The 13,153-nt window shown below is 41.6% G+C and overlaps 1 protein-coding gene and 1 pseudogene across 8 annotated transcripts in view; both read right to left on the bottom strand.

The window, feature by feature from the left end:
- ANKRD42 (ankyrin repeat domain 42) overlaps positions 1 to 13,153 on the bottom strand; it is a 70,571-nt gene that overhangs the window by 40,515 nt on the left and 16,903 nt on the right. For 5 of the 8 annotated variants that reach the window (NM_001433541.1, NM_001300972.2, NM_001300973.2 and 2 more), the window contains exon 5: positions 12,338 to 12,473. In NM_001433541.1, coding sequence (NP_001420470.1) covers positions 12,338 to 12,473 — 136 coding nt within the window. Of the gene's footprint in view, positions 1 to 8,567; positions 11,116 to 12,337; positions 12,474 to 13,153 lie in introns of those variants that run through there. The other 3 variants (NR_125355.2, NM_001300977.2, NM_001300976.2) reach the window with 2 other exon arrangements.
- On the bottom strand, positions 10,317 to 10,815 carry RPL32P24 (ribosomal protein L32 pseudogene 24; annotated as a pseudogene).

The raw sequence follows: 13,153 nt of genomic DNA, 5'->3' as shown, positions 1-13,153 counted from the left end.
AGAAGTCCAGATAAGACAAGTTGCTGGCACATATCAATCTATCCTCCCTCAGCTGCCCCTCACACTAGGCCCTGCCCCCCTGAAACTTCAGATTCCTCTAACTGCTTACTCATCATTTACACTTAAAAGTCTTATAAGCATTTCTAACATATGTCAAAAGTTGAGCTCCTTAGCCTCCTCACACACATTTACCTTATATTATCTCCCCGTCTCGGTTAATGGAAGTTCTCTCCACATTGTTCAGGCCCATAAGCCTTGGAGCCATCCTTGACTCCCCTTTCCATTACTCCCCACATCTAATCCATCAACAAATTTTACTGGCTCCTTCAAAATATATACAGAACCTGATTACTTCTCACTACCTTTGCTGCCTGTATACTGGCCAACCGAAATAGTAGCCTGAATTATTGCATCAGGTTCCCAATTACTCTCCCTATTTCTTACGCATGCCACTACCGCACCCTCAACTGCAGTCTATTATAAATACAACAGCAAAATGATCCTTTTATTTTTGTTTTGAGACAGGGTCTTGCTCTGTTGCACAGGCTGGAGTGCAGTGGCGCAATCTTGGCTCACTGAAACCTCCACCTCCTGGGTTCAAGCGATTCTGGTGCCTCAGCCTCCCAAGTAGCTGGGATTACAGGTGTGTGCCACTACGCCCAGCAATTTTTTGTATTTTTAGTAGAGACGGGTTTCACCATGTTGGCCAGGCTGGTCTCAAACTCCTGGCCTCAAGCAATGCACCCGCCCTTGGCCTCCCAAACTACTGGGACTACAAGCATGGGCCACCATGCCCAGCTCAAAATGATCCCTTTAAACATGGGTCAGATCATGTCACTCCTGTGATCAAAACACTCCAATAAAGCTGGGCATGGTGGCACATGCATATAGTCCTAGGTATTCAAAGGCTGAGGCAGAAGGTTTACTTGAGCCCAGAAGTTTGAGACCAGACTGGGCAACACAATGAGAAAGACAGGAAAGAAGGAAAGAAAAAACAAACAAACCCTCTAATGGCTCCTCTTACTTCTCCAACCATAACATCTAATACTCACCCCCTCACTTCTGTTGGAACTTACTGACTTACTATTACTCATACACACCACGCACATCCCTCCCTCAGGAGATTTACACTTGCTGTTACCTCTACCTGAAATGTTCTTCCTCCAGGATATCCACAAAATCTGCTTCCTCAGCTCCTTCAGATGTTTATCCAATTGTCACTTCCTCAGTGAAGGCTTTCTTGAGGACTTATTTCAAATTCCATGCCCTCTAATACTCTCTTCTCTCCTTTCCTACTTTACATTTATCTAAACACATATCCCTATATAATATATATTTTGCTCATTTATTTAGATGATTACCTGTCTCTCCCCTCAGCACCACATGTAGGCAGGACTTTGTCTTTTATTTGCTGTAATATCTCCAGCACCCCAAATAACTAACACATAGTATGTGCTCAATAAATGTATGTCAAATTAATAAAAATTTTTGAGAGGGTTTCTAGTTCCAAAATGGCCCTGAAGAAGCAAGCTAATTTCACGCTCTATCAAAGAAAACAAAAACAAATATACAGCACTGAGATTATCACTAGCAATAGCCCAGAATTCAAATATGAGGATGAGACAGGTCCTGGGGCCACAGTCAAGTGAAAAAACTCAGAGCAGACAGTAAGAGAATTGGACTTCCATATCCAAGACATGTCTCCCCCAATTCTGCCCAGCACAAAGTTCATGGAAATTTCTCCCAACTCACAGTTTTTATACTGGAAAAAGTGAAATCAAAGTAAACAAGCAGCTTCCCTATCATCTTGGGCTCCCTGGCAGAAGACCTGTCCCTATCTCAAGCCACAGGAAGCACTGGGAGTGCCTGAAGACAAATATATCCCTAAGGACAGCCAGAGACAAAGGGGAGAGGTAGGACTACCATCCTCAGTCCTGGAAACTCTGCTCTGTAACTAAGCCAAAGGAGACACCAAATCAGAGTGGCTGTTCAGCATCACCATACTAAGGTTCTTTCCACAGGTCCCCTGGGCACAAACTGCTAGCAAGCATTCCCATACTGCTGAAATATCCCATTTAGGACCTCCCCAATTTGGAATGAGCTACACTCCGATGGCTTATTTACTAGAGTCAAGGCAAACCTGAGCATAAGGTGCCATTTAGGGCCAAAAAGGAGGCAGAGACCTACCTGGAAAAAGAAAGAAAATCAACAAGAAAATTACAAAGAATCTCTATACAAACATACCCCATAAAAACCAAAAGAAGCCAGACAGAGAAGACTGGAAAAACTAATCCCTCAATGCAAAGACATAGATGTACATCCGTAAGAAATCATAGCAAACAGGGAAACAAAACCTACCCAAACAGACAAAGCAATAAACTACTGACTGACTCTAACAAGATGGCAATATGTGAGTTCTCAAAGAATTCAAAATAGCAGTTTTAAGGAAACTTAGTGATCTCAAAGAAACCTAGAAGAACAATTCAGAAATTGATCACAGAAATTTAACAAAAATATTTTAAATAATTTTTAAAATCAAACAGAAATCTTAAAATTGAGAAACATATTTGCCAAACTAACAAATTCATTAGAGGCTCTCAATAACAGAATGGATCAGGCAGAGGAAAGAATCAGTGAGCTCAAAAATAGGCTATTTGAAAATACCCAGTCATAGGAGAAAAAAAAAATGGAAAGAAATGAAAATCACCTACAAGAAATAGAAAATTATCTCAAAAGACCAAATCTAAGAATTACTGGTGTTCAAGAGAAAGTGAGCAAGAACAAGTGGTAGAAAGCTTATCCAAAGAAATAATAACAGAAAACTTTCCAAAACTTGAGATAAATATAAATATCCAGAAATAGTAAGGTCTCAGAACACCAAACAGATTCAACCGTAGTAAGACCACCCAAGGCATATAATAAATAATCAAACTCTCAAAGGTCAAAGACAAAGGAAGGATCTTAAAAGCAGAAACAATAAAGAAACGAATAACATATAAAGGTGCCCCAGTTTGTCTGGCAAAAAAAACTTCTCAAGAAAAACCACACAGGCTAGGAAGGAAAAAGACATTTTCAAAGTGCTGAAAGGAAACAAAACAAAACCCTGCCATCCAAGAATCCAGCAAAGCTTCTTCAACTATAAAGAAGACAGAAGGGCTACCCATTCGGGACCCCTTCCATGCCGTGGAAGCTTTGTACTTTCACTCTGCTCAATAAAGCCTATAGCTTTTTCTATCAGTCCGTGACTCACCGCGGTCAGCCACCACACCAATTCTTTGGCATGGCTAGGTAAGAACCTTAGGCATTACATTTTGGCGAGCCTGCCAGGAGTGTCCAGGAAAGGCATCTAGATCGTCACGTGGTGAATACAATCGGACCTCTTTCACTTGCTATTCTGTCCTGTCCTTCCTTAGAATTCAGAGGCTAAACTGGGCACCTGTCAGCCACTTAAAGGCAATTAGCACAGCCGCCAGACTAAAGACACAGGTGTCAGGCTGTCTGGAAAAGGGCTCTCTAACAACCCCCGACCCTTCGGGGTTGGGAGCTTTAGTTGGCCTGGAACCAGTTCCAACTCTTTCACTTTCCGTGGTGGTCCCAAAATACACCTGGGAGTGCTCAGCGGACGTCTTAGTCTCCCAGATATCCTGGTTGAGACAATGGTCCCACCAGAGGCTCCCCCTGCATGGGTTACTGAGTATGAGACAGCCACATCTTCTGACTCCTGCCTCCTGGATGCTAATGTCTGCCGGCTAGACTTCTTTCCTCATCTTGCAAGCAAGGTTATTCCCACTAGGCAGGATCAAGACTCCCTATTTAGAAGTCTTGAATTCTTGGAGTGGCACCTGGAAGATCCCTGTTCATGGTGCCCTCCAGGGTTTAGGCAAGTGTCACCATTTGATGGCCATTTTGAAGGGCCAGTTCCCTACCATAGCGTATGGTCCCCCACATCAGGACAATTTAAAGACAGGTAATTTTCATGTGGATAGTAGAAGTCTTAGGGCATTTCCTCCATTGCTCCCCAGATAAACTTTCCCCTTCCTTGGGGCCTCTCAAGTACAATCTGTGGTGCATAGGCACAGGTCTTAAAGCCATTGAATTGTTGTTTCGACCATTCAATAACTGGTGTTGGAGGGAAGAAAATATAGTCAGTTGGGACACAGGATACTGGTACCGCCTTGAGAGAGGGGCTTACTCCTTTGATGGCAAGTGGGGACAGAGGCTAAAGTACAGCAGCTGTTCTCTTGGCCCTGGCCTAGAGGACATCCACCACCCCCTTTAAACTTACTATACGCCTCCTGTCACTAATTCAGAGATTTCTCCTTGAAGGACAGTTTTATGGCCAGGACCACATAAATTGGTCCTTAGCATGCAAGCATCAGTGGTGCCCCCGACCCAGGCCTTGCCACCCTGGAATAGGTAAGACGCATTGGCAGAAGAACCACAATAAATTCAACAGTCCTTGTGCCCCACTTAGTGGTCAACAGGCACATGGCAGGGGCAAGGGACGTTTCCATCCCGCTGGTAAGCATGGTTAAATCCGGTAGATGGAAGACTCAGGAAAAGCAGCCATGAGCTTTGAATACAACTGGACCTGACCCTTAGGGGATGCCTTTAGGGAAGACGAGTCCCAGGACTAACCAGAGGTGCAGACATCCCTCTGTTTAAAATTCCGGATGAGCACCACACCTTGAAAACCAGACACTCCCTTAAGATGTATCCTGAATTACTGGGACAAATTTGACCCTGAAACCTTAAAAAAGAAGCGGCTAATTTTCTTCTGTACCACTGCCTGGCCACAGTATTCCTTACAAAATGGAGAAACTTGGCCCCCTGAGGGAAGTATTAATTATAACACCCTTCTACAACTAGTCTTTTCTGTAAACAGGAAGGTAAATGGAGTGAAGTCCCTTATGTACAGGCTTTCTTTGCCCTTCGTGACAATACTGCCTTGTACCAAGCCTGCAAGCTTTGCCCAAATGACAGAGGCCCACAATTACCTCCGTACTGAGGGCCTCTTCCCTCAGCCCCACTCTCCTCCCCCACTGACTCTCCTTCATCCAGCCCCACCGAAGTGTTAAAGGCACCCCAGAAAGAGAACATAAACTCTGCAAGCCAGGCACCCAAACTATGTCCCTCACAAACAGTAGGATGAGAATTTGGGCCCATTTACTTGCATGCCCCCTTCTCACTCTCAGATTTAAAACAAATAAAGGCAGATTTAGGGAAATTCTCGGATGATCCCTATAACTATACAGATGTTTTACAAGGGTTAGGGCAGTCCTCTGATCTAGCATGGAAGGACATCATGTTGCTCCTTGATCAGACCTTAAGTCCTATTGAAAATGAGGCAGCTTTAGCGGCAGCCCAGCAATTTGGACATTTATGGTATCTCAGCCAGGTAAATGATCGAATGACCCTGGAGGAAAAGGAAAAATTCCCCACAGGGCAACAGGCAGTACCCACTGTAGACCCTCATTAGGATACTGACTCAAATCATGGAGATTAGAGCCACAGGCATTTGCTAATTTGCATTTTAGAAGGGTTGAGGAAGACTAGGAAAAACCTATGAACTACGCAATGTTATCCACAATTACACAGTAAGAAAGAGGAAAACCCCTCTGCTTTTCTAGAAAAGCTAAGGGAGGCCCTAAGAAAGCACACCTCCCTAACTCCAGATTCCCTGGAAGGCCAACTTATTCTAAAGGATAAATGTATCACCCAATCAGTGGCTGACATTAGGAGAAAACTCCAAAAGTTTGCCTTAGGCCCAGAAGAAAATTTGGAGGCATTACTAAACCTGGCAACCTCGGTGTTCTGTAACAGGGACCAAGAGGAACAGGCCAAAAGGGAAAAGCAAGATAAGAAAAAGGCTGCAGCCTTAGTCTTGGCTCTCAGACAGGTAGACCCTGGTGGCTCAGAGGGAACCAAAAGAGGAGCAGGCCAATTGCCTAGTAGGGCTTGTTATCAGTGCAGTTTGCAAGGATACTTAAAGATTGTCCAACCAGAAACAAACCGCCTCCTCACCCATGTCCAATATGCCAAGGCAATCACTGGAAGGCGCACTGCCCCAGAGGACAAAGGCCCTCTGGGCCAGAAGCACCCAACCAGATGATTCAGCAACAGGCCTGAGGGTGGCCAGGGCAAGTGCCAGCTCATGCCATCACCCTCACAGAGCCCCAGGTAAGTTTGACCACTGAGGGCCAGGAAGTGGACTTCCTCCTGGACACTGGCACAGCCTTCACAGTTTCAATCTCCTGCCTCGGATGACTGTCCTCAAAGTCTGTTACTATCCGACGAATCTTAGGACAGCCTGTAACCTGGTATTACTCTCGCCTGCTCGGTTGCAATTAGGAGACTTTGCTCTTTTCACATGCCTTTCTTGTTATGCCCAAAAGTCCCACACCCTTATTAGGGAGGAACATATTAGCCAAAGCTGGGGCTATTATCTACATGAATATAGGGAACAAATTACCAATTTGTTGTCCTCTACAGATATTGTTAGACATTTAAGAGAGGAAAAAGGAGCTTGAACATTCAGTACCCTGGAATATGTTTAACCAATAGATACCTGGGCTCCTCCCCTTTCTAGGCCCTGTGACAGCCATCCTACTATTACTTGCCTTTGGGCCTTGCATTTTTAACCTCCTTGTCAAATTTGTTTCCTCCAAGATCAAGGCCATCAAGCTACAAATGGTATTACAAATGGAACCTCAAATGAGCTCAACTCACAGCTTCTACCGAGGACCCCCAGATTGACCTGTTGGTCTCCGACTGGCCTAAAAAGATCCCCTCTGGAGGACACCACAACTGCAGGGCCCCTTCTTCGCCCCTAACCAGCAGGAAGTAGCCAGAATGACTGCCGCCCAGTTCCCAACAGCAGTTGGGGTGTCCTGTTTTAGAGGGGGGACTCAGAGGAGGGGCCAGCTGGGCTTCCTGGGTCAAGTAGTGGCTCAGAAAGCTGTGAAACTCACTCATTTCCTGCATCAGAACTTACTTCGGTCCTGGATGGATAATATTGAAGATATATGCTTAAAATATGCCTTACACCAAAACATAAATAAAGAAGACAGAAAGCCTTTCCCAGACAAACAAAAGCCGAGACAATTTACGATCACCAGAACCATCTTATAAGAAATGGTAAAGGGGCCGGGCGCGGTGGCTCACGCCTGTAATCCCAGCACTTTGGGAGGCCGAGGCGGGCGGACCACGAGGTCAGGAGATCGAGACCATCCTGGCTAACACGGTGAAACCCCGTCTCTACTAAAAATACAAAAAATTAGCCGGGCGAGGTGGCGGGCGCCTGTAGTCCCAGCTACTCGGGAGGCTGAGGCAGGAGAATGGCGTGAACCCCAGGGGGTGGAGCCTGCAGTGAGCCGAGATTGCGCCACTGCACTCCAGCCTGGGCGACAGCGAGACTCCGTCTCAAAAAAAAAAAAAGAAATGGTAAAGGGACTTCTTCAATCAGGAAGAAGAAACACTAATGTGCAAATGGAAAACATTTGAAGGTATAAAAATCACTGGTGAAATTAAAAACATGGACAACCCTAGAATACTCCAATAATGTAACTGTGGTGTGTGATAACTCCAGTATGAGACTAAAAGACAAATCTAACAACAATAATAATAGCTATAGCAACCTGTTAAGAGATAGGAAATACAAAAATATGTAAATAGGTGAGGCACAGTGGCTTACGCCTGTAATCCCAGCACTTTGGGTGGCCGAGGTGGGTGGATCACTTGAGGTCAGGAGTTTGAGACCAGCCTGGCCAACATGGTGAAACCCCATCTCTATGAAAAATACAAAAATTAGCTGGGCATGGGGGTGGGCATCTGTAATCCAGCTACTTGAGAGGCTAAGGCAGGAGAATCTCTTGAACCCAGGAGGAGAATGTTGCAGTGAGCCAAGATCACACCACTGCACTCCAGCCTGGGTAGCAGAGCAAGACTCCATCTGAAAAAAACAAACAAACAACCCCAAAAATATGTAAATAGAAGCAACAAAAAGGCCAAATGTGGGAGAAACAGTTAACATGTAGGGCATTTTGCTTTTTCCTTGTTTCTATTCCTTTCTTTGTGACCTAAGGTAAGTCGTCATCTCTTTAAAATAATCTGTTATATCTATAAAATGTAAGACTCATGGTAACTACAATGCAAAAACCTATATTTACTAAAAAATAAAAAGCAAAAAATTAAAACATACTACCAGAGAAAAATCACTTAACCACAAAGAAAGACAAGAAGAAAGGAACGTAGGAGTTACAAAACAACCAGAAAACAAGCAACAAAATGGCAGCTGTAAGTCTTCACCTACCAATAACAACACTGAATGTAGATGGACTTAACTCTCCAATTAAAAGGCACAGAGTATAAAGAAACATGACCCAACTATAGGCTGCCTACAAAACACCCACTTCATCTATAGAAACACACGTAGACTAAAAGATACTCCATGCAACTAGAAGCAAAAAAAAAGAAAAAGAGTAGCTATATTTATATTAAATAAACTATAAGTTAATTCCACTACTGGGTATATATCCACAAGAAAAAAAAACAATGTATCAAAGAGATAACTGCACTCTCATGTTTATTAACACACTATTCACAATAGCCAAAATATGGAATCAACCTAAGTGCACATCAGTGATGAATGGATAAAGAAAATGTAATGTATATTCACAACGAAATATAATTCACACAAAAATGAATGAAATACTGTCAGTGCCACAAGATGGATGGAATTGGAGGTCATTATGTTAAGTAAAATAAGTCAAGCACAGAAAGACAAATATTATATGTTTTCATTCATATGTGGGAGCTAAAATACGCTGGTCTCATGAAGATAGAGAGTAGATTGATTGGCGATTACCAAAGGCCAGAAGGGTAGCACGGAGAGAGCAAGAACAGAAGTTGATTAATGGGTATAAATATACAATTGAGTAGAAGAAATAAGATCTAGTGTTTGACAGATCAGTAGGGTGATTATAGTTAACCATAATCTATTGTGTATTTAAAAATAACTAGAAAAAAATAATTCAAATGTTCCTAGTATAAAAGAAATATTTAAGGGATGGCTACCCCAATTACCTTGATTTGATCTTTATACATTATCAAATTTGATACAAATGAATGTATCAAATTATCACATGTACACCAAAAATATGTACATTTATCAATAAAAAATAATTTTATGAGAGCGATTTGAACACAAGCAGTCTAGACCTAAGGCCACATTCTTTCTTAACATCTATATTATTATAAATACTCTACCTGGTTATAAATAAAATAATCATACATGTTTAAAGAAACAATTGGATTTTTTAATGACCAGACAAGACCAACAAAAATGATCAAGTATATTTGATAAAGGACAATACAAAAATAAAACTGACCCCTACCTTGTATTACACACGGAAAAGTCAGTTCTAGGAGGATTGGGAATATAAATATGAAAGATAAATAAAATTTCTAACAGATAACATAAAGGAATGTCTTCATGATCACAAAATAGGGAAAGTACAGAAAGGACTAACTACAAAGGAAGAGATTATTAAAATGGACTACGTTAAAATTAAAACCTCTGGCCAAGCGCGGTGGCTCACACCTGTAATCCCAGCACTTTGGGAGGCCGAGGTGGGTGGATCACAAGGTCAGGAGTTCAAGACCAGCGTGGCCAACATGCTAAAATTCTGTTTCTACTAAAAATACAAAAATTAGCCAAGCGTGGTGGTGCACACCTGTAATCCCAGCTACTCGGGAGGCTGAGGCAGAAGAATCGCTTGAATCCGGGAGGCAGAGGTTGCAGCAAGCCGAGACTGCACCACTGCACTCCAGCCTGTGCGACAGAGCAAGACTCTATTTCAAAAAAAAAAAATAATTAAAACCTCATTTATCAAAAAATACCAAAGAATGAAAGAGCAAGCCATGAAGTAGAAAGATTAGAAAGATATTTGCATGAAAAGATATTGGTAATAAACGTAACTGACAAAGGGCTTGTATCTAGAATATATAAAGAACTCCTATGATTCAATAAGAAAAAGACACACTCTAACAGCCAATAGGCAAAAGATTTGAACTAGTACATCACACACACAAAAAAACCAAATAGCCTTTAAACGTACGAAATGATGTTCAACATCTTTAGTCATCAGGAAAAATGTAAATTTGAAACTGCAATGAGATACATCCATCAGAAAGACTAAAACTAAAAAAAAAAACTAATAATACCATATGTGAAAATGGAAATTGAAAGCAGTCTGAAAAAGCGAAGGAAGCCTAACACAAAATAATTTTTTGTTGTTGTTTTTTGGTTTTTCTTTGCAGTTTTTACAGTTTTATTTAAACACAAAACATGCACATGAGCTGTCTATTCATTTTCTTCACTGCGCAGCCTGGCGTTGGGGTTGGTGTGACTCCGATGGACAGCTGGGCAGCTCTTTCCACGATGGCTTTGCAGTTCTTGGAGGAAACATCTCAGCACAGTAAGATCTGTTGCACATCAGCAGCACTTCCAGCTCCTTGATGTTGTGGACCAGGAACTTCCAGAAGTCAGTAGGCAGCATGTGCTTTGTTTTTTTTGTCGCTCCCACAACCAATGTTGGGCATCAAGATTGGTCCTTGAACCTTCTACGAACCCTGTTGTCAATACCTCTGGGTTTCTGCCAGTTACACTTAATTTTGACATATCAGTCAGTCTGGTGCCGGAAGAACTTCTTAGTTCTCTTTTTGATGATCCTGGGCTTCACAAGGGGTCTGAGGGTGGCCATGATGCTGAGGAGGAGATGGCTGCCACCTCCGTAGGCAGCGCCGAGAGAGGGGCTTTTTGTTTTTTGAGACTTCAATTTAAATTTTACTTTAAAAAAAAAAACTTACAAAATACAAAGTAAAAAGAATGAGAACAAAATAAATTTTCAGATACACAAAAATTGAAAGAGTTCATACCAAAAGACTTCACTAAATGAACACTGAAAGACGACCTTCAGAAAAAAACAAAATGATCCTGGACAGTAGTGTAAAGATATAGAAAGATGAGGCCATGCAGGTAGGTAGGTGCCAAATTATGTAAGTCCAGCATGCCAAGCCAAGGAATCAGAGGCTCCACAGGGATCTAAGGAGGTTCTAAATAGCAAAGTGATTTGATCAGGCCTGTTCATATTATTCTGCCCTTCCCCTTTGTGTGTTTGTTTCTTTAAGGTATCATTTAAGTATCATTTTCACTCCAATCTCACTGTGATCTATCCTTTAGAATTTGTAGACCACTTTTTAAAGAAGGTGGAGTCTAAGTCTCCACTGGCCACTTTACTGTAGGTTAGACAACTGAAGTAGCAAATTAACCCAAATTAACTAGTATCCTCCATTTATGCAGTAGTGTTTAAAAAATAAAAAAGTTGGGCCAGGCATGGTGGCTCCTGCCTGCAATCCCAGCACTTTGGGAAGCCAAGGCAGGCAGATCTCTTAGGCCAGGAGTTCGAGACCAGCCTAGCCAACATGGTGAAACTCCATCTCTACTAAAAATACAAAAAGTAGCCAGGCGTGGTGGCAGGTGCCTGAAACCCAGCTACGAAGGACGCTGAGGCATAAGAATCGCTTGAACTGGAAGGCAGAGGTTGCAGTGAGCTGAGAGCACACCACTGCACTCCAGCCTGGGCAACAGAGCAAGACCCTATCTCAAAAAAAAAATAAAAAATTTAAAAATAAATAAGTTGTCTATGGGGCAGAGAGAGGTGAAGTTAAAAAATAAAAACACTAGATAGCAGATGAAGGAAAGAGCTGGCAGGAAGAGCAAATCTATGTTTAATTTTGCCAATTTCTCTTTTGCTGATATGGTTCCAGAAAAAAATCAATCAAATGAAAGGTACATAAGATGGGTGTGATGTAAGATAAAAAATATTCATGTCAACATATATACTACTTCGTTTTGTGAGGGACTAACAAAACAATTGGTTTCAATGTCTTTATTTTTTAAGAGACGGGGTCTCACTTTGTTGCCCAGGCTCACTGGAGTGCAGTGGTGCAATCACAGCTCACTGTAGCCTCAAATCCCTGGGCTCCCAAATCCTCAGCATCCCAAAAAGTTAGACTACAGGCACACACCACAATACCCAGCTTTTTTCTTTCTTTTACTTTTTTTTTTTTTTGTAGAGAGTGGGTCTCACTATGTTGCCCAGGCTGGTCTCAAACTCCTGGCCTCAAGTGATCCTCCAGCCTCAGCCTCTCAAAGTGCTGAGATTACAGATGTAAGCCACCACGCTCAACCAACAGTTTAAATTTCTTAAACAAGATCAAACATTTAAAAGTTTACATCAATGAAAAACTAAAATATTTGCTTTATTTAAAATACCTGGAAGGTTTCCATTGTAGTCCACATCTTCTATGCTACAACCCCATTTAACAAGAAGTTGCAAGCAGCCAAGCCGCCCATGAAAAGCTGCATAATGCACAGGTCTCCATTCTCTCTTATCAGTCACACTGGGATCCTAGAGGTAACATTCACAAGGACTTAGTTTCTCCCCATTTTGTAGGGGAAATACTAAGCCTAGCAGCTTAATTCTGTAAATAAGAATTGGAGGCTGTTCTTAATACAAGAAGGCAAACACTTAATAGAAAAATGTACTGCAACCACTAATTTGAATATATGAGCTAATAAAATTTTATAAAACAGGCTTTTCAAAAGAACGAGTCACATAAAATAGTTTTTAAAAACGAACTTAACTAGTCATCTTACCAGTCACAGATTCCTGACCAATAAAATGAAAGGGATAGATTGAATGATCAAATACTATCATTGAGAATATAAACAGAGTTAATAAAAAATATTTAATAAGTTTTCACTCTTTCTCAAACTATAGAAACACCAACTCTTACCACAATGTCTTCAATATATTTAGTTCTCTTCTTCTACGTTATTTATTACAACCACTACATAATAAAATTAAATATTGCAATAAACAAAATTTCTGAAGAAATAAATCACTTTCTAAATCACTATATGAAGTAAGAGTTTCAAAACAAACACATAGGTAGACACACAAAAATTCATAAAGATTTACAATCACCTGGTTAAGATTCGTTTGAAGCTTCGTAATCTAACCAGTTAAACTCTGAACTGGCATGAAGAACCCAAAACCTCTCAAGTACTTTGTAATACTGAATTGGT

Source organism: Homo sapiens, chromosome 11 (genome assembly GCF_000001405.40).
Source record: "Homo sapiens chromosome 11, GRCh38.p14 Primary Assembly".
Taxonomy (NCBI): Eukaryota; Metazoa; Chordata; class Mammalia; order Primates; family Hominidae; genus Homo; species Homo sapiens.
This window is presented reverse-complemented; position numbering and strand designations above follow the sequence as displayed.